We start from the raw sequence: 27,830 nt of genomic DNA, 5'->3' as shown, positions 1-27,830 counted from the left end.
TCTGTATTGTTTGTCAGGTATGGCCGCTGCAGTCTGTGTTCTGTGAGCCTTGTGGTCAGCTAGTGAAGGAAGCTTTATGTAGGCAGTGACAGCATTTACCCTGCTCACTACTCTATAACTAGGATCTGATCTTATGGCTAACACGTAACTGACCAATATGGTTTGGTTGTGTCCCCACCCGAATCTCATCTTGAATTGTAGTTCCCATAATCCCCACGTGTTGTGGGAGGGACCCAGTGAGAGGTCATTGAATCATGAGGTGGTTACCCTGTGCTGCTGTTCTCGTGATAGTGAGTGAGTTCTCATGAGATCTGATGGTTTTATAAGGGCTTTTCCCCCTTTTGCTCGGCACTTCTCCTTGCTGCCGCCATGTGAAGAAGGGTGTGTTTTCTTCCCCTTCCACCAAGATTGTAAGTTTCCTGAAGCCTCCCCAACCACACGGAACAGTGAGTCAATTAAACCTCTTTCCTTTATAAATTACCCGGTCTCAGGTATGTCTTTATTAGCAGCCTGAGAACGGACTGATGTACCGGCACTTCACAATATGTATTGTAAAAACTTGTTTTTATTTTATCTTCTAAGCTATGACTGCAGAGGGGGAGTCTCCCTCTTCCCTTGACTTTATGTAGGATGTATTGTGGAGTCTGAGTCTTTGAGTAGGGGTTCCTAAGAGCAAGCCCCAATTTTGCTATAGATAAGGAGGGATCTGTCCAGATTCTTCTCCAGCACTGAGGGTCTCTCTGGTGTGTTTGCAGTTTTTCTCCAAGGTAGAGTCTGTGTCTTGCTGTCTTTTACCCTTTATCATCTACTAAGTACATGTCCCTAGTACATAATAGACTAGTAGTTAGATTATCAATGAACAATAAATATTGGCTTTCCTTTTTTTTAAATTTTAATTTTTTTTTTTTTTTTTTTTGAGAGGTGGCCTCACTTTGTCACCCAGGCCAGAATGCAGTAGCGCAATCTTGGCTCACTGCAGCCCTGATATCCTGGGCTCAAGCGATCCTCCCGCCTCGTCCTCCCAGGTAGCTGAGACTACAGGCACATGCCCCCACTCATGGCTAGTTTTTTATTTTTGTAGAGACAGGGTCTTGTTATGTTGTCCAGGCTGGTCTTGAACTCCTGGCCTCAAGCAATCCTCCCAGCTTGGTCTCCCAAAGTGCTGGGATTGCAGGCATGAGGCACTGAGCCCAGCCAATATTGGCTTTCCTTAGATATGGTTCATGGTATGATTAGAAACAAAAAGAATTAGCAGTCAAAACACCTAGTTTCTAGTTCTATTCTGCCACAATGTAACCTTAGGCAAAGTTGGTTTTTGTATTTGTCACCTATAATGATGAGTTTGTGATTAGACTAATGGTTTTTAGACTTTAAAAAGCCTGGGACCATTTATTTATAATCTTACTCTGAGAGCCACAGTGTGGAAATAACTAGACTGTCATTGAGTCACTTCTAGTCCTTTACAACAACATCCTTCTCTAGAGGTAGGAGAGACAATTTAATATTTTGTTTTACTCTTTAGAAATTAAAACTCGGGTTACATGGAAATGTTCTCTTCTCTGAATAGGTAACATTGTTAAACAAGTTTTGAGTGTCCTTCCATCTTTTTCTTTTTATGAATACTCCTGTACATAATTTTTAAAAACATAAGTGAGGTCAAATTATGCATAATATTTCAAAACTAGCTTTTTGTACTTAATACTAGGTTTTGGAAACTTATGTTTGTACATAATGTTACCTTTTCTTCACAACTGCACAGTATTTTTTGTGCAAAGTTCATATAAACAGTGTATGTGCAAACAATATAGAAAGATATAAAATGGAAAGTAAATAAAAATAAAAATCTCTCATCAAACTCTTCATCACCCCCAACAGAAATAACCCCAAAGATAAAGCTCCCTTTTTTATCTTTCCTGATAGTTTCAGTGCATTTGCAAACAAATATATTGACTCTTTTTTTCACAAATAGAATTTTAGTGTAAATATTTCACAACCTTCTTCATTCCTAAAACAGTGTGAGCAGCTTTCCACATCAGCATATATAGTTACTTTGTTCTTTTTAATATTTTCACATTCCATGATTTATTTAACCATTCCCCTTTTAATGTACATTTGGGTTGTTACAGTTTTTTGCAACTATGAACAAATCAGTGAACATCATTGCTGTTGAGTTTGTGTGTCTGTAGAATATGTCCTTAACAATGGGATTGTTGTTCCCTTAGAATATGTGTTTAGAGTTTTGACAGTCATTGCTAAGTTGCTCTCAATTTGGCAACAGTAATAAACTCAGTACCTCATAGTTGTAACCACATTCACTCCAGACAGAGTTCTCAGCACTCTTTTAGTAAAAATAAACCATCAGTTGACAGTGCCACCTTCAGAGTTTCTCTACAAATACCTTGCTTGCCTCCCTTTCTTTTTTTCTTCTTTTAAATCAGCTTCCTCAGGTTGATCTGCCTCTCATTCCTTAGGCATCTGTTTCCTATGTGTTCTTTCTCCTTTTTTTCATTGATACTTTTGTATTTCCCCAGTTCTACCTCCCCTCCCCTAGACTGGTTGGCTGTCCTGGAATTTCCCTTCCTTCTTTCAATTGCCCAAACACTAAGTGGGAGGAGGCAAACTCATATCAAATAGCAGATTGACTACATCTGTGCTGGATCATGCAGACAGTTCAAGAGTCCCAAGTAACTTAGCAGCTTCATCTTGCCTTCCAGCTGCAATCAAGAAGAGCCCTCTCAGAACTGGTCACTCAGCAAAAGCCAGATGGCATTAGTAAAAGATGTTGGGCAAGGGTGGGAGTTTGGGCCAGTGATCTCTTAGGTTACTTTTGCTGCTGAGTTAATAATTGTCACATTATTAAACAGCCCTTGGCCCTGGGAAGCCCACCTTCTGTGAATACAAGTCTCAGAGTAGACAATAGGGCACAACCAGCCATGTTACATGACAGACTGCCAAGTGCATTCCTCTTACAACTCACTGGGATGGAGCGCTCCTCAGAGAAAAACAAGCCCAGCAACATTTGTATTCTGAACAGGCATCTGTCTATGTTTGTGACCTTTATGTTGTGATGTGTGTGAGCTGCTGTCTGGAATTGGAAAGAATGAGGAAATATGTCACCTATGGCCCCTCTTGTGAAGTGTTAAATGCCTCTGAGGCACTTCAAAAGGCAACAGAGCGGAGAGGATGAGTGATTAGAAGCACATTTGGGATACATTTTTAGATCTAATTAGAATTGTCCTTTTTTTTTTCTTTTTTGCTTTTGCCCTGTGGTTAGCACACACCATATGAACGTTTGTCGAATGCTATGTTAGTGATGCATAATGGTTAATAATAACTTTTGGTTATATATCTTTAACAACAGTTGCTTATTCACAGGTCTTTGATAAGAAGAAATAACAATGTGCTGGACACACATTTCTATACAGGCAAAAGTGACTTTTTATGATAGAGAGGGCTGTTTCTTATTTTCTGTTTTGAAAACAGTAGTAGCTATGCACTTGAGGCCAACTAATCCCTCTAAGAGGTGAACCTTCCTTCCCCCTTGCCCTTGATTCCCATCAACACACACATACATATGCACACACTACCGTGCTTCAGTCACCATCACTGGAAGTGAACTATGTGCAACTTTTGGGTGCTTTATATATATCATATCATATTGTGTCTGCTTTAATAAATCATAGTTATTGACTACATATCATACAGGATGTGTGCCTTCTGTGGGTCAGAAAATAAGTTCACTATTTAGTCCTTTTCAAAAATTCCTTCCCGATCTATCTTATAGACAGAAACTAAGCTTTTATACACCCAAGATTTGGCAGATTAACATCTGCATATTAAAATGTCAAGAGCTAGTTAACTTTATTTGAGGCTTAAAAGTTAAAAAATCTGATTTTCTAAATGTCTGGCCTTCAAAATTTGAGTGGACTGTCTTTCTCAAGATAACTAACAATTTTATGCACTTGGCAGTCAAGACCTTTACAATAACTGCTGCTTGGGAGATTGAGGGGAAAAAAGCATTAAAGTTTGTGGCCCTTATAATCAAGTACTTTACAGTCTACTGATGGGAGAAAAGGAAAACAAAACAAAACAAAAAACCACTGTGAGATATAGATATGTCTTTTCTTTCTCTAGCAGATAAGTACCTGAGGCTCAAGGAGGTTAAGCAACTTTTGCAAATTCACTTTCCAATATAGTGTCTTTTCCCAGGGTGACTAATGTATATACTTGATGAGTGAACCAGAAAAGTAGGAAATAATATGTTACATATGGGATGCTCTATTGGGTATAGTAAAGGATGCGTTGCTGTTATAAAATTATAGTCACTTAGAAAAGAGATGTTTATTTTTATTTTTCTCTCATCAGTCTTAAGGTAAGTGAATGGCCTAGGGTAGTTAGGTGACTGTGTTCCATATGGTCATTCAGGGGCAAATGCTGATGAAGCAACACAGCTGTCTTCATCTAAGACTAGAACTCTGCTTGTTGCCATTTCCCAGCAGGAAGGGGTTGAAAGAAAATTTATGTAGATTTTTTTTTCTACCCAGTAGTTGCATATATATTGTATTCTCACATCCTATTGACCCAAACTTAGACATATGGCCACATCTGTCAGCCAGAAAGGGTGGGCAATGTTATCTATAGCTGTGTTGCTACGTGCCTATTGCTAAAAAGGCTAAAAAGGAAGAAGGGGAACATGGATGCTGGTGAACACTTGGCCACCTCTGACACAGATAATTGCTAAAGTAATAAGAAGAGATGGAAATTAAATGTGCTAAGCTAGGAGACTTTCTAAAGAAAGGGTTTGTCATGCTACGCTGTGCCATTCATGTGTTTTTTTGCTCATGCTGTTCCTTGTGCCTGGAAATTCTCCCCCTAATTCCCCTGAGCAGTGGATGCAGTGGATACCCTCCCCAGATCCCCCCCAACTTCCCTGAGTGTTGGCTACCAAAAGCTCTGAGTGCACCCAGGGAGCTAAGTCCTCCTGCCCACAGGCAATAATGGACTGACACGGGGTAGACTTAAAGAAATAAGAGGCACATCAATCAATTGAAATGTGTGGGACCTTACCTGGACTCTGAATTAAACAAACTGTAATTTTTTAAAGCTACACCTTTTAAACATGATTGGCTATTTGAACACTAACTAGATATTTGATGATATTGAGGAATTATTGTGAATTTTTAGTGTAGTAATGATATTGTGGTTTGTATAAATATATTTAGGGATAATATGATGCCTCAGATTTGCTTTAAAATAACACAGGATGAGGATAAGTGGTAGGACTGCAAGGGAAACAAGACTGGCCATGAGCTGATAACTGTTGAAGGTGGGTACTGGGTATATAAGGGCTCACCACACCATTCTCTTGATTTGTGTCTATTTCCCATAATAAAAAGTTTAAAGAGAGAGAACCGATGAAGGGGAGGGAGAGAGTCAAGCACACAATAAGAGTGACAAACAGTGCCAAATCAGCCCACAGTATTAAGTTTTCACATATTTACATAAATATCACCTGGAATGCAATATTGAAATTAATGTATATCACTAGAATAAAAAAAGTAAAGATTTAATAAATTTGTTTTGAAATAAAATAAGTTGAAATACGAAAAAGACAGAAAAGGTTTTGAAAGAGGTTTTAAAGAAAAGTGCAGGATATTCATTGGTAAAGATGTTGGTGAGAGGCTTGGAAGCAAAACTTCAGGGGAAAAAGACAACATATGGAATTGACCACAATTGAATTTACAAGTGAAGTGGCTTTACAGAGGAATCAGGGGATGTTTCTGAGAGAGGAAATTCATTAAATTCTAACTTGAATATTTTCTGTTTGCCTTTAAGTCAGAGCAAAGGCTTTGAGTCCCAGCTTCCCAGTTTGTGACCTTGAGCAATTGCTTAACTTTTCCAAAGCCTCCAATAGTCTTCACTCTAAAATAAAAGATAATCATATGAGATATTGTATGCAGGGTATTTACAAGGAGCCTGGTACTTGGTGTACCTAATGTATGTTAGTTATTATTATTAAATTAGAGGAGCAAAAATTTCTCTAGCATTGACTGCTCCTGACATAATCACACCGAAGAGGGGATACACGATGATAAAACCTTCCTGCAGTAGTGGCTATAGAAATGATGACGGGGAGAAGATCTGGAAAATATTCCAAAGAAGGCTACAGATAGATACATTTTTTCCATTGGAATTAGGCAATGGAGTTAAACAGAAGTTACAATATGGTTGAAATAAATGTATTTTTTTAAAAAAAGATTTCTCTTTCCTTAATTATTAAAAAATATACAATTTTGTAGAAAATTTTAAACAAAGTATAAAGAAAAAAATAAAAATCATTCATAATCCTATCAAAGAAGCATTGTTAATTTTTTCTATATATCTTCTTTTTCCACGTGTATACTTGGAAATTAAATTTTCTAAAATAATTTTCAGGAAAAACAAATTTTAATTAATTGAGCTTCTACTAAATAGGACTGAAAAGCAAAACCTGGACTAGAATTCTCTCTCGGTGTGTGTGTGTGTGTGTGTGTGTGTGTGTGTGTGTCTGTGTGTACATGTGTATGTGCTGTGTATACATGTGTATGTGGTGTAGCGTTCCCCTGATTCTTAACTTATTACCAGTGGACAACCACCGTGGAACTAGAGTCTAGTCATTCTTAACCTTTTTGGGGGAATCACAGTCTCTTTTTTGAATCTGATGAAAATCAAGGACCGTTTTTACAGAAACGTTCTCATCTGTGCATACATGAGACATTTTGCATTGCATAGAATTTCCGAGGGTTCACAGATACTTTGAAGCCCAAAAGTGATCCACAGACCCCAGATTGAGAACTCCTCCGCTATGCCATGCTTAAGCTTATTTCTGTGTATCTTCTTTCTGAGGAGCAGGCAGATGGGTCATCTTTACAATGTGAAGTTCTTGGCATTTTTATTTTGTTTTGTTTTTCTGCACTACGATGGAGCAAGCAACACTGGAGGCAACTGGCTAAATGCAAACTCATGAAGCAAGACCAAAATGGCTGGATAGATAGATGCTGTTTGGTTTTGACAACCTAGAAATAACCTTGAAGAAATCCTATGGAGAAGTCTTAAAGAGGAAGATTGGATTTTGTAGACTCAAAGAATGTGTCATGGTTTGGCTTAATCTAAGCCATTTTTATTCTTCTTTTCTTGTGTTTGGGTCTATTATCTGTCTGTAGAATTTATACAGTGAGACTGCTGGGGAAAGTCTTATGTCTAATTATTTGCTGTGCTGTGTGGAGTGTACTGCAGACAGTCAATAAACAATCAATAGTAATTGTAGCCTGCCTCAGAGACAGGAGTTAGAAACTTCAACTGGCTTAGGTGCATGGTATTTTTCATTAATTTTCTTCTGCTAGTTTTTTTCTCTAATTTAAAGCCTAAATTTAAAGATTAAATAGAAAAGCTTTCTTTGCTTATGAGCACAAGTAGGCACTGTTTTTAAAAGAAGGAATATATAATCCCAGGTGTTTTACCTCTGTTAATGAGAAAGATGTCTGTTTGCTTCAGATTGAATGAGCAAAGAAGAGGACAAGGATATTTGCATGGTTAAATGCCTATGAGCCCTTCCTTCAGAAAGTAATATTCCCCTGATGTCAATTACTTTTATACGGACATCTGGATGTTTATCATGAGAGTGTACAGATGTCAACTTTTTCAGTATTATAGCTGGAAATGTGGTGATAACTTGACTTTGATTTGAGTAAACATAAAATATCTAACATTTAAAGTCAGAAGTTCACTTCAGGAAGGGGTTTAAACTGACATTTATTAAAAAGAATGGTTCCTTGGAAAAAACATCAGAACCATCCCTAAAGATACAGTCACTCTGATAAAGTAAACAGAGTCCCAGTTATGCTCTGTGTAACAAATAACAGAACTTGAACATGACATTTATCTGTTCCTTAAACTTACAGAAGCTGGCTCTGAAGATATTGACATACTTCCCAATGGTCTGGCTTTTTTTAGTGTGGTGAGTGTCTTCTTCCTTCCCCAAATTCAGCAGAGGAGATACAAGGGTATTTGATGAGGGCTGCAGAACAGTAAGTTGCTTTTAAAATTCATTTTCCAAAATGCATTCTGAAGAAAAGAGAGGTCAAACAAGATCTTGGAAAACTTCCTCCAGCTTTTCTAAATGTAGAGATGAAGACTCTTTGCCCATTGAGATAGTGTTCTTTATTTCCCCATTGCATTGCACTAAAATATTCCAATGCAATCTGTGTTTTGTTTTGTTTTTTCTTTTTTAATTTTTTTTATTTTTTGAGACGGAGTCTTGTTCTGGTTGCCCCGGCTGGAGTGCAGTGGCATGATCTCAGCTTACTGCAACCTCCGCCTCCCGGGTTCAAGCAATTCTTTTGCCTCAGCCTCCCGAGTAGCTGGGATTACAGGCGCCCGCCACCATGCCCGGCTAATTTTTGTATTTTTAGTAGAGATGGGGTTTCGCCGTGTTGGCCAGGCTGGTCTCAAACACCTGACCTCAGGTGATCGCCTGCCTCAGCCTCCCAAAGTGCTGGCATTACGGGAGTGAGCCACCACGCCCAGCGCAATCTGTGTTTTAAATGTGCACTATTAAGAGGGATATTTGAGGTCTTACTGTGGATACTCAATACTAACATTATACTATTTTAAATACAGCATCTACTCATCTTTCTATTACTATTCAACTTGAAGCAAATATTCTTGCCATTATTATTTATTTTCAAATATTATACCAACCTTGCCCTTTTGCTTTCTTTCTTTTTTCCCCTGAATAGCCAATCATAAGTGGAAAGTCATTGAGTTTATTTACACCCTTCATTTTGCCTTGATTCTTGTAAGCTGAAAAACAATATCCTTTCTGGGTATACAATAGAAAGACTTTAAAAACAATTGGCTTGTGAATATTGTTGTGAATATTGTTGAAACTAGCTTGTAACAATGTCCATTCTAATTGGAAATCCAGATAAGGGGACAGATGAGGAGGTTCTGACCACCTACCTCCCTGGCTTGGGCAGACATAGGAGTTCTTGGCATCTTCATAGGTCCAGTTTTTCTGGAGGAAGAAGTAACCAACTCTGACACCTGACTGTAATTATTCCATTTCCTCTCAACATCCATTATTTTCAGGCTCTGAGACTCAAGAGGGATGTGAAATACTGGGAGATACTTAGAAGGGAGTCACCACACTAATAAAATAGTTGTTAGACTTATGAGAAAGGTGAGAGAACTCAGGTTGGAGTAGAATGAGAATTAGAACACTCTTCAGGTTCCTGATGGTTTTTATGTGAAAGACAGTGAGCAGCTGGTTATTACCACTGAGGCAATAAAGAGATACTGTGGGCTTTAGCAGAAACACCAGTATATGTATTTAGTTTTTAAAATAAGGTTTTAAAAGGAATGTTTTATTTAATTGCCTACACAGAATGAATAAAGTGATATTTATAGTAGGACTCTGGGTTTGTTTAGGAGCACATGCTTGCACATGTGTGGCTTAGGAAAAACCACTGGGACCACTAGTCTAAAATATTCATAAGTAAAGATGCAAACATTCTGAATAAAGTAGAAGGCAGTTGCATTGATTTTTTTATTTGTTTATTTGTGTTTTTTGTTGTTGTTTTGCAAGGATGTGTTCTTGGAGATTTTTATAATCTAGAATTCACCTATTTCAAGATTTCTCTCCAGCCCCCATAGTAATAAATCTGAAGTAGGAGGGATGAGGTCTCCAAACACATAAATCTACAGCCATTTTAGCTTGGGGGCATGTTATAGTTACAAAGATCTTATAGCCATATCAATAGAACTTTTTCTGCTTTTTTTCTGTTACCCTCCTTTGCTCATTTGACTTTTTTTAAAATTTAGAAACATTCCCAGTTTGCTGCTGTTTTTCATTTACTTGGCATTGTCTCTAATAAAACCTAGAGTGTACTCTCTTCTAAATAAAGAGGTCCTACATTGTGGAGGTTGTTCATTCTTCTTCCTAGCATTTTAGCTCATCTAACCCAACCTATTTTACAGTTATGGGTTGAGGGTCACCTCAAAACTAATGTCACACTTCATGAAGAATTGGATGACATAGAATAAAATATAAAAAATGTAAACAATGTGAGTGTGCTTAACACCACTGAACTGTACACTTAAAAATGGTGAAAGTGATGAATGTTGTATGTATTTTATCATAATTAAAAATAAATTTTTAAAAAGAGAAAAAATACTTAAATAAATAAGGAGTGCGAACATAACCATGACTAGTTATCACCATCTGATAGTGCTTCCTTTGCATGTAAATCATGCTTTTGTTTTGGGGACATTCATAAAGAATAGGGATTAACTGAAGTGGCACTGCCATGTAACAATAGCATAATTCCAGTTTGTTCTACTTACCAGGCTTGCCCTCCATGAAAATATACAATTGTAGATAATCTTTTTTAATTGGAGAGATTTCCTCTTATGTCCAATTTTATACATAAAGTAAGACTTTTTTATTGTGTGCCTAAATTTGTGTAAATATGACTGCATCGTATTAGTAAACTGAATTAGGTAGTGCATTCACATAAAATTTAACATCACCAAGAAGGCTTTACCTTAAGAATGTAATGATGAATCACCATTTTAGATAGACTGATAGGTAATTTATTAACTGATTTAAAAGAGAAAAGACCTATATCATCTCAGTGAGTACCAAAAAGCATTTAATAAAATTCAATACTCATTCCTAAAGTTCCAAGCAAACTAGAAAGATAAGGAAAATTCCCACAAAACTACAGCAAACATCATTCTTGATGGTGAAGCATTGGCTGCATTTGCATTAATGCTCAGAACAGGAAGAAAATACCCAACACCACAACCATCAGTAATCTACTAGAGTTCTTAGTAATTCAGTAAAACGAGAAAAAGAAATGTGAGATAGAAAAGAAAAAGACAAAACTGTCATTAGAGAAGCAGGGACTGGCTCAATTGCCCAGGCTGATGTGCAGTAGTGCAATCATAGCTCACTGCAGCCTGAACTCCTAAACTCCTGCGCTCAAGAGGTCCTTCCACCTCAGCCTTCCGAGCAGCTAGGACTACAAGTGCTCACCATAACACTCAGCTAATTTTTTTTTTTTTTTTTTTTTTTTTTTTTGTAGAGACAGAGTCTTGCTATGTTGCCCAGGCTGGTCTCAAACTGCTGGCCTCAAGCAGTCCTCCCACGTCAGCCTCCCAAAGTGCTGGAATTATAGGCATGAGCCACCAGGCCTGACCTAAAGCTGTAGTAATTTAAAAAGTGTTATATTGGCACAGGAATAGACATGAGACATTAAAATAACAAAACAGAGAGTCCCTAAATAGACCAATATGTAAATGTCAGAGATCTAGCACATGATAAAGGTGATATTTTGAATCAGTGGGAGAAGGATGGACTGTATGCCAGGCACTGTTCCAGGCACTGGGATCTAGCAGTGAACAAATTTCCACAGTCAGTATGTAGATGTCACTTTTCTCCACCCTCAGCTCTCCCTGGAATCACCTAGTCCACCAACCTTCTGATTACTCTCTGAAGAGAATAAATCCCTGATCTTCTTTTCAGTTATTTTCAGGCTTTCAGTATTCCACCTCCCCGTTATTATTTTTTCTGTTATCTTTTCTCTGTTTTTTGAGTTTTTGTGGCTTTATGCCACTACTTTAACCACAATCTCTATTTATCCTTCATGTACAGTTCCCATGTTAGTCCATAAAAATACTTAAGCTTTTGTATTTAACATTTTTCACCGTTTTGGAAAGGGTCTAAAATTCCCAGGACTCCACAGCTTTGCACCAGATAAGCCTGGAGGAATACTAATGATGGATCTAAAAGAAGAAAAACCAAGGGCACGGGAATTAAGAATCAGTCGTGGGTTTGATTTGGCCTCATTCAATCCACATGGCATCAGCACTTTCATAGACAACGGTAAGAGCCAATGGGCTACCAACATTTAGTAACGTGTGATGGTTCACAAATGACTGTGAAAAATAGATTTGGATCATATTTCTAGGAAGAGAAGAACAATTAACTCATGAGTGATTTCTGTATTCTTCATTACAAAGAACTTGTTCATTTGCCTCTTCAGCTGGCAGTAAGTTATGCTACATTTTGAAATTCCTAACAGGTAACACCTGAAAGAATGTTTAGATTTCATAATCTTTTCATATACCTACGATCATCACATTTAAAAAAGAACTGTATTTTTGAATTAAAGTAGAAACAGATTATGCATGAATTCTGTATATGGAGTAGGAAACACTTTCTTAAAGGTCAGGGAGCCAATGATCAGAAATAACACCAGACGGACAGCAATAGGAAAGACAGAGAATGATCTGTTAGGTCGTCTAACAGCTTATACATTCAACCTTTCCTTGCCTGTGGTATTTAAATGTCAGTGCCTGCCCAGAGGTCCCGTAGTTATGTCTTGTAAATTAACTCTGTTCTTTCAATTCTTTAGATGACACAGTTTATCTCTTTGTTGTAAACCACCCAGAATTCAAGAATACAGTGGAAATTTTTAAATTTGAAGAAGCAGAAAATTCTCTGTTGCATCTGAAAACAGTCAAACATGAGCTTCTTCCAAGGTACTTCCTCATTTTGTTCCTTCTCTAATTTATCCCCAGCATTTGCAAACAATCCCTATGGTGGGTTGTCCTGTCATCTTTTATAAGCGCTAATGTATATATTAGCTAATATGTAAGAGCTAAAGAGCTTATATTTCCTTATTTATAAATGTGTGTGTATAGTTTCCTTATAAACCAGGGCAAGCATGGCATATGAAAGTTGATGTCACTCATACTATTCACTGTTCTATGCGGACTCCTTTGAGAAATGATGAAGTGCCCGACTACAGGGTGATACTCTTCAGGCCCATCTTGAGGGTAGAAGGCAAACCCTAACATTTTTTCCTGCTGTCACCCTCCATCTTAGATGACTCATCACCCAGATGAGTGTCTTGCCAAGGAAGAATGGCCTGTTTTTTATTGGGTTTGTATGCTTTGCATGGGACTTTATACCAATCGCTTTCATAGGGTTAGTGATGGTTGCATGCTAGTAATCCCACAGAATTAGAGCCACTCAAGTTGAGAGTGAGTCATTACACTTCAAGAACATAAAGCTGGTTGAAAATGTGGCTAAGAGAGAATCATGTGTACCCCCACCCCCAGTTCAGTGTGTATTAGCCTACTGCTTCTTTTAGTTTAAACTTGATGAATATTTTTAATTTCTAATGAAATTTCATTTCTAATGAAATTAAAAATATTGCCTATCTAGGGCCTATCTATGCCTATCTAGGGCATAAGCATGTAACTTCCAATCATTCCTTCCAAAAATGCACTTGATAAAAAAAAATAGGAGCATAAATACCATCCAAGCATTATGGTGCTCTTTCAGAAAAATGAGACCTACCTTCCCTGTAGCTCTATATTTTTCATTTAGCAAAGAATAAAGCAGCTCTTTCAGAAATTTTTGCATAGAGTAATTGGAATTTAAATTTAATAACACCCTCACCTAACTGGTCTTAAAATGAAATTGTTTTTAGCATATAAATCTCTCACCTGAAGCATTGTACTATGGCAATTTTATCATCCATCTCTCTGCAAGTGTTTATTGAGTGCCTGTTCATTCTCGGCATGTCAGCTTTGTGAAGCAGGTAGAAATTGAACAGTCAACCTTAGTTTGACTAATAACTAAGCCAGGGAAATTAGAAAAATCCAGGAACTGAGTAAATGGAAGCTAGGTAAATGTTACTGACTGCCTAACCAGCTCACCAGCCAATCAGGCTCTCTCCAGCTCTGTACTGTGGACAGCTCTGTCCTTACGTATAATTGTTAAACCCTACATTTCTTGCTGTCAAAAAACATGCCCTGATGGCACTAAGTTCTTTCTTCTCTTATGGTAATCCTGCCATAATTGCTAAATGACCTGTGTTCAGATTACCTGGTACCATACAAAATTGTTCTCTGGCAACAATATTATAGTATATTGTATATGACTATAGTCGTGATTTTTAGCTCGTCTTTTCCTCTTACCAAAAATTTAAAGCACATGTTGCATAAATCTTATGAGTACTTAATATTTAATATGGAGACCAACAGGCCTTTTGTTTCCTCTCACATGCTATTTTTCTTTTTCAGTGTGAATGACATCACAGCTGTTGGACCGGCACATTTCTATGCCACAAATGACCACTACTTCTCTGATCCTTTCTTAAAGTATTTAGAAACATACTTGAACTTACACTGGGCAAATGTTGTTTACTACAGTCCAAATGAAGTTAAAGTGGTAGCAGAAGGATTTGATTCAGCAAATGGGATCAATATTTCACCTGATGATAAGTATGGCCCCTTATAGAATATCTTCATTTTTCTTCAGTTGTGGTGCTGGCCAAATTCTTTACTTTGCTTTCTTTGTCAATGTGAAAATAGTTTTCTTGACATTTATGGTATATTATACATATAATATATAGATACACTATATATATAATTATATATGTTTTGTATATATATTTACATATACTTAGTCACATGTATTTATATGCAAATACAATACCATATTTAAGTAAACTATATAATACAGTAATATATATGTATTTATATATAATATATAAAGTTTGGAATACATCATTGTCAAATTTAATTTTATAAATATAAATTTTAAAGTGTGATCATACTGATGCATACATATTGAAGTATCAGGTATTTCCTTTTAAATAAATGTATTATTTTTATTGGCTATACATTATTCCATTATAAGGATGATCTTAAACTAATTTAACCAATTCTCTATTGATGGATATGTGTATAGGGGTGGGGAGTTCTACATAAAAAATATTTTATACTTCTTATTTACCATGGAATTTTAAACAAGTATTTTTTTTAAAGAAAAAGTCCCTAGGAGAGTGTTTTTTTTTTGTTTTGTTTTTTGGAGATGGAGTCTCACTCCGTCGCCCAGGCTGGAGTGCAATGGCATGATCTCAGCTCACCTCAACCTCCGCCTCCTGGGTTCAAGTGATTCTCCTGCCTCAGCCTCCCAAGTAGCTGGGATTATAGGCATGCGCCACCATGCTTGGCTAATTTTGTATTTTTAGTAGAGATGAGGTTTCTCCATGTTGGTCAGGCTAGTCTTGAACCTCCAACCTCAGGTGATCCGCCCACCTCAGCCTCCCGAAGTGCTGGGATTACAGGCATATGCCACCACACCTGGCTCTAAGAGAGTATTATAACATAATGGTTAAACTTGCAGATTTTGGACTCATACAGGCCTGGGTTCAAATCCCACCCAGGGCACTGGCTAAATGGTTCTATGAGCTACTTTTCTGTAGAACAGACCCCTAGAAATAGAACTATTTGCTCAAACAGTGTGATTCTTTTAAATGTTAACTTTAATAGATATTGCCAAATTGTCCTCCAGAATTATCTCATTATTTTTATATGCACAACCACAACCTATAAGAGAAGATATTAAATTCTTGATAGCTTTCTTATCTACTGCCTCAGCACACTGAAAAATTTAAACTACTACAAATACAACATAAAATAAATTTGGCACTCCTTGACAACTAAATGCCCTTATTTTTGTAATCCAATTTCTCCTCCTTTCTTGTTGACTATAGAAAAAGAATGTAGAATCATTTAATTTAAATTGTCTCTAACTGACCTGATCCAACCTCTGCAGCCAAATCTGTTTTTCACTCTTATATTTCCATTATGAGAGTCAAACTTTCCAATCACCCAAGCTAACAAAAAAATAACAATAATGAAAAGGGAGAATCAGCTTTTACTCCTCTTTCACCATTCCTATCCAGCCTGTAGGCAGGTCCTGTTGGTTCTACCTGTGCCTCCTTCCTCTACCCCCAAACTCCTTTCCCTTTGAGTGAGACCTGCCTAATTTAGGTTGTCATCCTCTCTGACTAGCATATGAGACTTTCTTCCAATTTGTTTTCTGTCTACTTGGATTTTTTTCACTCTTGCCAATTTTGTCTGTCTATCTCTATTAGCCTTGAAGGGCTCCCCAAAGAGGGAACTCTGTCTTCCTCACCTTTGACTCCTTATGCCAGTACAGTGCCAGGCACAAAGCAAATGCTCAGGAATTGTGGAACAGAACTGACCATTTGTTGCCACTTTATTATTCTAAGATTTCAGTGGAATCCAATTGCTTATCAAATCAAGGCAGGGTAAAGGGTTGGACTTTGTTTAACAGGCCACCTCCAACCTCCCTTTTCTACTATTTCCATGCTTTCTATGCTTTAGACAAAGAACTCATTGTTTTAAACATTCCTTCCTCTTCTTGCTCCTGTGATTCTGCTCTTGTGCTTGCTTCTGCCTGGGAAGTGCCTCCTCCGTCCTCATCTCAAATCTCATCTCTCTTTACACAGCCACTGCAGATGCCCCTTCCTTGGTGAGCCTTTCTGTGTCCTCGGAAGTTAGCTATTTCTAGACCTGAACTATTTCTCATGCTTATTAGGTGTTTAATGTGTACAAACCAGTGAGATTTGTTCCAACACACTATAAACTTTCAAGGAGAGAGGCTGTGTCTTCTTCATGTTTATATCTGCTGCAACACTGAGTTCATGGCTTTTCACACATAATTGCTCAACAGAGCAGGTGCCATGGAAAGTCAATTCAATGAGTAAAATTACCTCAAAATAGTCTGTTAATTCACTCACCTTTGAAGTAGACAGATTATTCTGCATTGATACTTATCTCTTACTCTTAAAATTCGCTATGTATTAATAAATATTTTATTGAATATTAAGGAATGATCACTATTTTAATAAGATGTTCTTTACCATATATTTCTATATGTACATGATAATTAGAAGTATCAAATTATATTGTGGAATGTAAAAGCTTTTCTTCTGAAGCCAAGCATTTGTTTTATTGTCATTTCAGTGGCAAATATGGACTTCATATTCAAAATGATGTTCTATATTATTTTTCCTTACAAGCTTTTTGAAAAACAATTTAATAATTCCATGATTGTTGTAGCACCACTGAATTGATTCTGAAAGCTTACTTTTTAAATAAAAATTGACCTTTATCAAGCATTCCTTGAGGGCCCATGATTGATTAACTTCTTGGCAGGTTATTAAGACTTATTCTTTCACACTGTATTAATGAAGCTTTATATTGGCATGGAGCTCTAACCACTGTGTCCTTTCTGCAAAGGTATATCTATGTTGCTGACATATTGGCTCATGAAATTCATGTTTTGGAAAAACACACTAATATGAATTTAACTCAGTTGAAGGTAAAATATTTATTTTTACATATAGACAGTAATCTATTATGCTTTGCAATGACATAGTTTTTCTATAAGAGTACCACACGTAGAACAAAATATGGATGCCAGTGTAGCTATTCTGGGTTTTTAAATACTCCCTACAACTAGAGAAAGCTCCTGTTTCCAGCGATCTCAAGAACTGACCATGATTACATGCAGCAGCAGGTTGAGAGTGATATTCATCAGATTTAGGGCCCATTCCATGAAGTATTGATGGCAGTGGAAGAATTCCAATAAGAATTTTCACAATTGAAAATACTAATAGATGAATTCTCAAATGAAGGTTTATGCACAGTGTCAGTTCTTTCAATAATACATGAAGGTAGAAATTGGGTTCCACACCATTATTATTTTCTTCCTACTCAACAACACATATTTTAGGTTGATTAAGAATTTCCTATCTTGCTTTGATTGAGTTCCTTGAGCTAACTGATCATTGTGCATCTTTTAAAGGAAAAGGAGTTCAGTTTTTAAGATAGATTTTTACAGAGACCGATTATCACCCTAACTTTCTTAATTTCAGGGAAGAAGAAAAGTGGCTCCAAACCAGTTTTTAATACATTCCTTTTAAGCAATATTGGTGTTAGAAGGTGGAAGCAGGGCGATGTGTAATTTCCTCACATGCATAGAGGCAGGAAGGTTACCTCTAAATTATTTAATCAAGTTTCTCATGTCATTTAGATTTTGACAATTTCTCATTTGGAAGGTACTTGAGCTGGATACACTGGTGGATAATTTATCTATTGATCCTTCCTCGGGGGACATCTGGGTAGGCTGTCATCCTAATGGCCAGAAGCTCTTCGTGTATGACCCGAACAATCCTCCCTCGTCAGAGGTTTTTATATTTTCAGTTTTTTAAACTTAATTATTCAAGTCCTTTTGAACTAATAATACAATAAATTGTCACAGGGATGATTTGTTTAGTTATTTTAAAGCAATAATATAATAAGCTTATGTCGTGGTTTTGTAATTGCGTTAAGCCAATAATTGGCAGAATGTTACATTGTTCAAATACTTTAAGAAAGGTAATCTTTTGATGTATTAAATTATGGTGGAAACTAGTCAAAAGGCATTTTTATAAAGACATGTGCCCTTCTTGGGTGGTATACTGGCAATTTTTAAAATATCTGATTTATTGTCAGCTCACCACATGATGTGATATTTGTTCATGTTGAAGTAGTGTGAAAGTAGGCACATTAGTATGAAAGTATTTCTATTAAAGCTGAATTGCTATAATAACACTAAATCCTGTGTTGGCATGGAATAACTAGATGGTTTTAAGAAAGTACTTTCTTTGAAGATTGGAGAAAGTACTTTAATTTAAACATTAAAAAGATTGGTAACTGCTATTTTCAACAGCATGTCCCCTTAATCAGTGTGTCATTGTGGAAAACAGGGCTTATTGATGATTGAGTGACATGCATGTACGGTGGTCTTATATTCATACTTTGTATCCCCTGAATAGGTTCTCCGCATCCAGAACATTCTATCTGAGAAGCCTACAGTGACTACAGTTTATGCCAACAATGGGTCTGTTCTCCAAGGAAGTTCTGTAGCCTCAGTGTATGATGGGAAGCTGCTCATAGGCACTTTATACCACAGAGCCTTGTATTGTGAACTCTAAATTGTACTTTTGGCATGAAAGTGCGATAACTTAACAATTAATTTTCTATGAATTGCTAATTCTGAGGGAATTTAACCAGCAACATTGACCCAGAAATGTATGGCATGTGTAGTTAATTTTATTCCAGTAAGGAACGGCCCTTTTAGTTCTTAGAGCACTTTTAACAAAAAAGGAAAATGAACAGGTTCTTTAAAATGCCAAGCAAGGGACAGAAAAGAAAGCTGCTTTCGAATAAAGTGAATACATTTTGCACAAAGTAAGCCTCACCTTTGCCTTCCAACTGCCAGAACATGGATTCCACTGAAATAGAGTGAATTATATTTCCTTAAAATGTGAGTGACCTCACTTCTGGCACTGTGACTACTATGGCTGTTTAGAACTACTGATAACGTATTTTGATGTTTTGTACTTACATCTTTGTTTACCATTAAAAAGTTGGAGTTATATTAAAGACTAACTAAAATCCCAGTTTTGTCTGTGTTTAATTCTGAAGGCATATGGCTAGGAGAAATGGGAAAGCAGCTGCTTCCTTATGGAGTTTGGATAGGCAAGCATGGCCATATTAATTTCTCTTGTGGAAAGCTGAAAGTGAATGGACTCTTAATTTGAAACAACAACAACAAAAATCAATGAAATATTGCAACTCAAATTCCCAGTTCCTAAGGAGGTTTCCATCAGCTCTCTTCCTTAATGGGAGTCCACTTTAGAGACAAAGAGGAAATAAGGGTTGGGACAGGAAGGTCTTGCCACCTCCTCATTGAACAGAACTGTGAACTAAAGCCAGGAGAATGAAGTCAGTCGTCCGTGACCACATGGTTAAGCAGCAGCAATGCTAGGATCAGGGCCGCGTGCCCAGCTCACAGAGGGAGAGTTTTTCTGCTCACTGTACCTCCTATAAAATCATCATAAGCCCTAGAGAGAGACTTTCATGTGTTTCTTTCCATTGTAATTTATCAAACCACTTTACTTCACTTCTCATACTTTTTCCCTATCATCATCATGAAAATATTTGTCAGTTAATTACAATATGCCAAACAATGCAATGAAAGTATTACATTCGTTATCTTATTTAATCCTAATTGCAGCCTGGAGTAAGTATTGATATTATATCACTGTTAACATTTCACAGATATTCAGTCTATTTCTGATGCCAGAGCCTGTACCGCTAACCACTACATGATGCTACTGCCATAGAACGAACTAGTATTTTATTACTGTTTTTCCTGATGTATACAGTTTCTTCATGTTTTGTAGATATGTTTGAGTTCTGCTTTTAGATGAATCATTTAATGGATTTTAAATTTAAATTTCAGTAGTATTCTTAAATTTGGCCTGTATCCATTTGGCCTGTGTTGTTATTTATATATTTAAGTAGTTTGCTACATATTGTATTGGATTTATTTCATGCTAAAATAATTATTTTCTTTTTTGTTTACATTGTCCATGGGAAAATGCTAAGTCACAGATGAATACAGCAAGATTAAATATTGCAGACCTAGGGATCCAAATGAAGAACTAGATGTTTTAGATTTTATGAGATTATATCAGACTATCTAAAAAGCTACATTTATAAAAAGTACTGGAATACAGTAGGCATAAAACAAACTTGGTTTCTATTGCATTTATTACAAATTTTAGAACAAAACCATGTCCTTTGCAGCAACATGGATGCAGCTAGAGGTCATCCTAAGCAAATTAATGCAGGAACAGAAAACCAAATATTGCATGTCCTCACTTATAAGTGGGAGCTAAACATTGAATACACATAGACAAAAATGGGAACAACAGACACTGGGGACCACTAGACAGAAGGGAGAATGAGGCTATGGGCTGAAAAACTAACTGTTGGGTACTATGCTCATCACTTGGGTGACAGGACCATCCATATCCCAAACCTCAGCATCATGCAGTATACCCAGGTAACAACTCTACACCTGTACTCTTTCACTACCCCCTCAAAAAACACTGGGGAGTACAATTTGCTGGATCATATGGTAGAAGTATGTTTAATTTTGAAGGAAACTGCCAAATTATTCCAAGTGGCTATACTGCTTTGCATTTGCACCAAGCAGTGAATGAGAGCTCCTATTACTCCACATCCTGGCCAGCATTTGGTGGTGTCAGTATTTTGGATTATACTATTATGAAGTGGTATCTCATTTTGATTTCCAATTACCTGATGACATAAAATGTTGAACATTATGCTTGTTTGCTATCTGTATGTCTTCTCTGATAAGGTGCCTGTTTATACCATTGGCCCATTTTAAAAATCTTCCTTTTGTTGTTGTTTTGTTTTCTTATTAAGTTTTAAGAGTGCTTTGAATATTTGGAATAACAATCTTTTGTTAGGTATGTCTCTTGCAAATATTTTCTCCCAGTCTGTTGCTTGTCTTCTCATTCTCTTGACAGTGTGTTCTGCAGAGGATATTTATTTTTAAAAACAAAATCAGGGCACCTCTATAAGATAATATAGCCACTTCAAATGATACTACAGAATATTAGCATAGACATGTACTCACAGTGTATTTTGAATAAAGCATGCAAGTATTTTAAAAAAATTTATTTGGACAAAAGTATATGTAAGTTAATAAGCACATGTATGGCCAGCCACGGTGGCTCACTCCTGTAATCCCAGCACTTTGGGAGGTTGAGGTGGGCGGATCACCTGAGGTCGGGAGTTTGAGACCAGCTTGACCAACATGGAGAAACCCCGTCTCTACTAAAAATACAAAAATTAGCCGGGCGTGGTGGTGCATGCCTGTAATCCCAGCTACTCGGGAGGCTGAGGTAGGAGAATCCTTTGAACCCGGAAGGCAGAGGTAGGTTGCGGTGAGCCAAGGTAACACCACTGCACTCCAGCATGGGCAACAAGAGCAAAACTCTGTCTCAAACAACAACAACAACAACAGCAAAAAAAAAAAAAAAAAAAAAAAAAGCACATATATTATTTATCTTAGAAATAAAAAAAATGAATAATCTCTGATTTTTGGCTTCTCTGGACCATGAGGAATTCTATCAAACTCAGTATATTGTGCACTTATTTATGGTGTCTTCTCTCTGATCTTATACTGAGCTGAACAATTGAAAACAACTGAAACTGTAATTGGGATATGACACCATGAGGTGAATATAGGTCTTACAGGTGTGTATGTGTTAATTCTTTTTACTCCAAGATTCCGTTTAGTGACAATAATTGTTTTTTTACTTTTACAAAACCTCAGCTCTTTTATAACAAATGTGAACATGAATACTTAATACAAGGAGTAAGAAAGATTAAATATAAGCTATAATACAGTATTTTTTTCATGTTGCATATGGATTAATCCTTAATTGCAACTCATATAAAGCTGATTCTTTTCTCTGGACTTTGATTTGCTCAGTTTGAGTCCTATCTTGGAGTCACAGCCAACCTAGGCTAGTGAATATCTACTCTACTCAGCAAAGCAATGAAAAAGTAACAGCTTAAAAGTAACCCACCGCCACACCAGCCACTTCTACCTTTCTGTGGCTACTTGTAGTTTTCATTACTCACACTGTTTTCCAGGGAAGGATTTCTGGGTGTGAGAGAAGGAGCTGGGTGGGAGAATCCCAGTAGCATTCTCTTTTAGCTTTCTGCCCCTGCTTTTCAGCACTTTTCTTCTACTGTGTTTTAATTTTCATTCTCTTTTTATGAGTTTAAGTACACTTTGAGATATTTAAGGAGATCTGTATTTATTTTTCTGTGAACTTTTTTTTTCCTTCAAGGATGCTGGCCTTTTTCTATGAATTTCTAGTTCTTCATGTGTAAAGGAGGGAATTATTTTTCCAGTTCATAACTAAATCATCCATTATGCAATTCTTGACAGGGATTGAAAACATCAGGAAATGATGTTTTCCATTAGAAGAGAAAGCAGTACAGATATTTTCAAACTTTTAAAATGGAACCTGGTTGTCCCATCATAGGCAGTATTGAGTGCAGAAGACATTACTCAGACCTTTCTTAAGAAAGGGCTAATATAAAAAATACATTTATTACATGAATTGATTCAAGGCCTGAAAATGATGATTAGGATAAACATGACTTTTGTCACTCCACTTTGAAGAAAACTCTCCAGATTTCTCCTACAATATAAAATGGAAACCACAGCTTTAAATGGACTCTCTGAGGCTGGGAACAGTGGCTGACACTTGTAATCCCAGCATTTTGGGAGGCTGAGGCAGGAGGATCACTTCAGCCCAGGAGTTCATGACCAGTCCGGGCTACATAGCAAGACCCCCATCTCTATGTTAAAAAAAAAAAAACTTTAAAAAAAATTACTACAGCTTTATATATAAGATATATGGTGGCACCTGCTGTAGTCCCAGGTACATGAGAGGCTGAGGTGGGAGGATCACATGAGCCTGGGAAGTAGAGGCTGCAGTGAGCCATGATCACACCACTGCACTCAAGCCTGGCCAGCAGAGTGAGACCATTTCTCTAAAAATTGTTTAAAAATGAATTCCCTGTTTTTCTATTCATATTGCTTCTGTTTCTTGGTCCCCATATCCATAAATACAGCCCTCTTTAGCAGATTCTCCAAGCCTAGACACCTTTCATTTCTCCCTCTCCCTCACCACCCCTTTGCTCATATCCAAACAATTGCCAGTCCCTCCACCTAAACATTTCTCAAATCCATACAATTCTAAGAACTTTGAGAAACAATCTCCTCACCTTCTCCAATCACCCTCACATATCTCACCCAGAAAGGCATCTAACTATCTCCTAGCCTCCAGGAAGGGTAAGTGCTCCACCTGCTCCATAATCCACTCTCATCATTGTGTAGCAATGTTTCTAAAACACCTGCCAAAACATGTTACTTCCAGTGGCTTCCCAATGCCCCTTAGAATATAATTCAGGTTTCTTAACTTGGCCTACAATCTGCCTTCCTCTCCAGATTCAATTCTCACCATCTTCTTCCCAAATCTTTAAGCTCAGTGATTCTCAAAGCATGGTCCCTGGGCCAGCAGCATCAGCATCACCTGCAAACTTGTTAGAGATGCAAATTCTCAAGCCCCACCCCAAATCTAACAAATCTCAAACTCTGGGTCTAGGACTCAGCAATCTCTCTTTTAAGGAGCCCTCCAGGTGATTCTTAGGCCTGCTGAAGTTTGAGAACCACTGCTGTATCCATACTGGACTATTTCTGTTCCAATTCCCCTACTTGCGGATACCCCGACCTCTTTCTGTGAACCTCACCACCCTTTCTCCACTTAATTAACTCCTTCTCCTTGTCATACAATCTGACAAGTTCATGTAATATGTTGAATCTACCTTGAGATGTGTTCCAAACTAGAGTCGCTGAGGGGCTACCAGATATTGATGAAAAATCCCCTGAAGACAGTTAAAGTGGAAGATAAATCTGGAAAGAACCTTCCTGGCAAAGTGTGGCCCCTCAAGGATCCCCCCATTCACTTGGTGCTTACATAGTGAAATGTGAGCCTGCTGGAACCCTGGTGCTCATCCTGCTAAATACACTCAGCGCAGATGATTCCTAGCACACCACAGGTTGCACCTGAAGTCCTGAGTGGGGGAACCTTCCCCATGGTGAGTTGCAGGAAGTCACCAAACAAGGTATCAGACTTTCACTACCTGACTTCATTATTAAGTGCATCTTCAGAATGAAATTGAGAATTTTATTTAAATTCAGATATACCTAAATATTTAATACTTAAATAAGTATAAATTTAAAATAATAAATTTTCTAAATAATAGAAGTCATTTCTTAAAATAATACAAATATCTGGTCCTCTAGCATTTCTCTCTTCTGAGCAGCACTAGACTCATTAATGCCATGTAGTCGTACCCAGGTTTTAAACAGTGGTTTCTATGGCTTAGGACAATGTTTCCTAATGTTCTAAAATCCATATCCTCTTTTTAAAAAACAGCTTTATTGCAATATAATCATAATCTCTTTTGATTTGTTGCTCTTTTTCTCTATCGCCACCTCTTTTTCTTGGCAAGATTCACTGATAGAAACAATCTTTTTAAATTAAAAATGTAGCGATTGTAAACATGATCAAGATATAAAGTTTGAAAATTTTAAACATTACAGAGGGTCGTACAGTAAAAGCAAAGTCTCCTTCCATACTCACTGACCTCCCCACTCTCCACGACCCCAATCTTCTGCTCTCAAAGTAACTACTCTTCAGTTTATGTCTAGATTGTTTATATATATATATATATATACACACACACACACACACACACACACATATGTGGATAATATGTAATTCCCCTAATTTTATACCTTAGAATTATACCACATGTATATTCTGCATCCCCCTTAATGGCATTTTGATTATCAATGGTGTGGGACTCCCTAGATCTATATATAGTATTGTGTTACTTACTGTTTAAACGTATAGCATTGAATTTGGTCTACATTAGCTCTTTGAAAGCCCCACTATACATATAAGGAAAGAAGGGTCCAGAGGTGGTGATAAGTGATTTCAAAAGATTAAAGGGCCAACTACAAATGGAATTGGATCTTGAATTTAGGCCTTTTGAATTTATCTGTCCTGCTCTTTCAAAGTCAACAAACCCCTTTTACAATACTGATGTACCTGTGGCCTCTTGACCAAGTCAATTTGGCCTATTGCCAAGAGCAGATTTAGATGGTGACACTCGATACAGTGGCCTCCAAAGTTTGGAATTCTTTAATGCTAATTTACCATGCTGGGGATTTGAATTACTGATTATGGTATTCGAATAAAAACTAACCACTTCTAGGGTTTAAAGTTAATGTATACACACACACACACACACACACACACACATGCACACACACACACAGAGACTCCTCTGCCTAAAGTGAAGAATTTTTAAACAAATTATAGCTAACACAGAACTTCAATCAATTGCCCAAGAATACGCTTCTTTCTTTACCCCCTTCTTCATGCTATGCTGCAAACACAGTGATAAGGAACATGAGCTCTAGAGTCACCTGATCTGAGTCCAGATGGAGGCACTGACACTTAGTTATGTAACCTTAAGTGAATTATTACTTTACCTCTCTAAGCCTCAAAGCCTCACTTTCCTTCTTTTTAGTCCCATCAAACTTGCAGCAAGCAATTCACTTTACTTCTTTGTAGGTAAGGTTAATAAGAAGTAATGTGACAAGGCATGCAAACGCTGAGTGAAATAATAATATGACTATTATTATTTCATTATTCATTCCATTTATTTTTTATTCTTCTAATTTTTCTTTCTCCCAAGTCCATATTTTACATCCATCCATCTAATCATATTTATTGAGTCATTATTAAGCACAAAGTTCTATGGATGGCACGGGAAAACCCAGTGATCAATGCGATGGAGTCCTTCCCACAGGAGCCTACAATCTCAAGCAAAGTTCAGAATTAATTAGTGGTTAATCTTTACTGACTTCATAAAACGTATCAAGCACAGTGCAGAGCACTTGACACTCATTATCACATTTAATTTTAAGCTACCTATGAGGTGGACGTTCTTTTACAGAAGAGGAATCTGTAGCTCAATAAAGCTGAGTACTTTATCTAGGCTGGATCCAAACCCAGGCAGCCTGACTCCCAAACCCTGCATGCATGTCTACATCACACCCCAGGCCCCTCAGCTCTGTGAGCCCTCCTGACTTCGATTCCTCCTCTGCTTGCACTCTTTTAACATTAGTCATCTTAACAAGAACTCTAATCTATACAATTCAAGACGTTACACTGTCCTTTTAATACAACCCTTCTTCCATAGATTTTCTAGAGGCAGCATGGTAGAGGCAGCTCAGTTAAGGGCCCAGATTTTGGAGTCTGCTGCTTGACAGCTGCCTGACCTACAGCAAGCCACATAAGCAATCTGTGCTGCAGGTCTCACCTGTAAAATTGGGGTAAGGCTACCCACACTCCAGAGATTGTGTTGATAATTAAATGCGTTAACATAGGTGTCAGCACAGGCAAAGCACACAGTCAGTACTGCATAAGCGGTGGGCTTCATTATTCATCCTGTAATTACGTATTCATACTAGAATCATGTATCCCATAGGTCAGGGACCACCTTTTCTTTCCTTAATACCCCCAGGATTGGCAAATCTTGCTCTCTCAACAAATAGTTTACTCGGTGGAACCTAACAGAACTAATATTTCTTTCTGTCCGTAAATAAAAATAGATCATGCTTGAATGTGCTACTTTGCCCGAACTCCCCAAGTCTTCCCGCATCTTCAGTTCCTCCCCCTCCAACCTGGTGTTCATCAGGAGAGGGGAAAGAGCATTTCTTGCCTGGCAGGAACTCAAGACCTAGAAGAAAGAGGGCCTACCCTGCCAAGGAAATGACCTTCCCCTTCCTCGCCTCTGCTCCTCTTCCCGTTTCCTGTCTTTTCCTTCTTTTCTCCTGGTGTTTCCTTCTCCCGTTAACTATGGGGACAGACGCAGCTATTCACAAGTCCGTCTGGGCAGCACACTCCGAGGTAAGGCACGAAGGTCAGGAGACAGGTTCCCGTGCCCCAAATCCTGGAGAAGATGAGTTAAAGCTCTTCGCTTCGATTGCCTTCGCCCTTCCCGCGTCTCGGGAGCAATTCAGTGTCGCCTCACGTCTGGCCTTGCAGAAGTCCGGAGTTCCGGCTCTGAACTGGAGCTCCCCGCCATTCCCGGGCCCTCCGGTTTCTCCCTCAGGCCATCTGAGGAATTGAGGTAGGATTTCGCGGGTGTTAGGAGCAAACTCCCACCACAACTCGGTCCCGGGCTCCCTCTCCGTTGAGCCTTGACCTCTGCCCAAAAAACAAGGAATCGTGGGCGTGAAGGCGGCCTTGAACCCGGGCGGCGGGGCTCGGCGGGACTCGTCAGCGCCCTGCTGCGGCACCCGGGCCGCTCAGGTAAGTAGGAGGCGTGTGCGGGCGGGGCCGAGCGGGCCCCAATCCGTACGCGAGGCAGGAACCGCC

The 27,830-nt window shown here is 37.9% G+C and overlaps 1 protein-coding gene and 1 long non-coding RNA gene across 6 annotated transcripts in view; one reads left to right on the top strand and one right to left on the bottom strand.

The window, feature by feature from the left end:
• The window catches only part of PON2 (paraoxonase 2), a 30,167-nt gene extending 10,791 nt beyond the window's left edge, over nucleotides 1-19,376 (top strand). The window contains exons 3-9 of one of the 4 annotated variants that reach the window (NM_001018161.2): nucleotides 7,941-7,996; nucleotides 11,761-11,926; nucleotides 12,495-12,585; nucleotides 14,137-14,337; nucleotides 17,170-17,251; nucleotides 17,991-18,119; nucleotides 18,750-19,376. In NM_001018161.2, coding sequence (NP_001018171.1) covers nucleotides 7,941-7,996; nucleotides 11,761-11,926; nucleotides 12,495-12,585; nucleotides 14,137-14,337; nucleotides 17,170-17,251; nucleotides 17,991-18,119; nucleotides 18,750-18,908 — 884 coding nt within the window. In that variant the 3' untranslated portion in view covers nucleotides 18,909-19,376. Of the gene's footprint in view, nucleotides 1-7,940; nucleotides 8,067-11,760; nucleotides 11,927-12,458; nucleotides 12,586-14,136; nucleotides 14,338-17,169; nucleotides 17,252-17,990; nucleotides 18,120-18,749 lie in introns of those variants that run through there. The other 3 variants (NM_000305.3, XM_005250453.2, XM_017012357.3) reach the window with 3 other exon arrangements.
• On the bottom strand, nucleotides 550-27,766 carry LOC107986822 (uncharacterized). 2 transcript variants are annotated; one of them, XR_007060439.1, is made up of 2 exons: nucleotides 27,210-27,766; nucleotides 550-5,922 (listed from the first exon to the last, which is right to left on the bottom strand). It is a non-coding gene; the product is annotated as an uncharacterized LOC107986822 (long non-coding RNA). The 2 variants fall into 2 exon arrangements; XR_001745283.2 differs by lacking the exon at nucleotides 550-5,922 and adding an exon at nucleotides 26,089-26,260.

Source organism: Homo sapiens, chromosome 7 (assembly GCF_000001405.40).
Source record: "Homo sapiens chromosome 7, GRCh38.p14 Primary Assembly".
NCBI classification, from domain to species: Eukaryota; Metazoa; Chordata; class Mammalia; order Primates; family Hominidae; genus Homo; species Homo sapiens.
The sequence above is the reverse complement of the archived record's forward strand: the minus strand, read 5'-3'. Positions and strand labels throughout refer to the sequence as shown.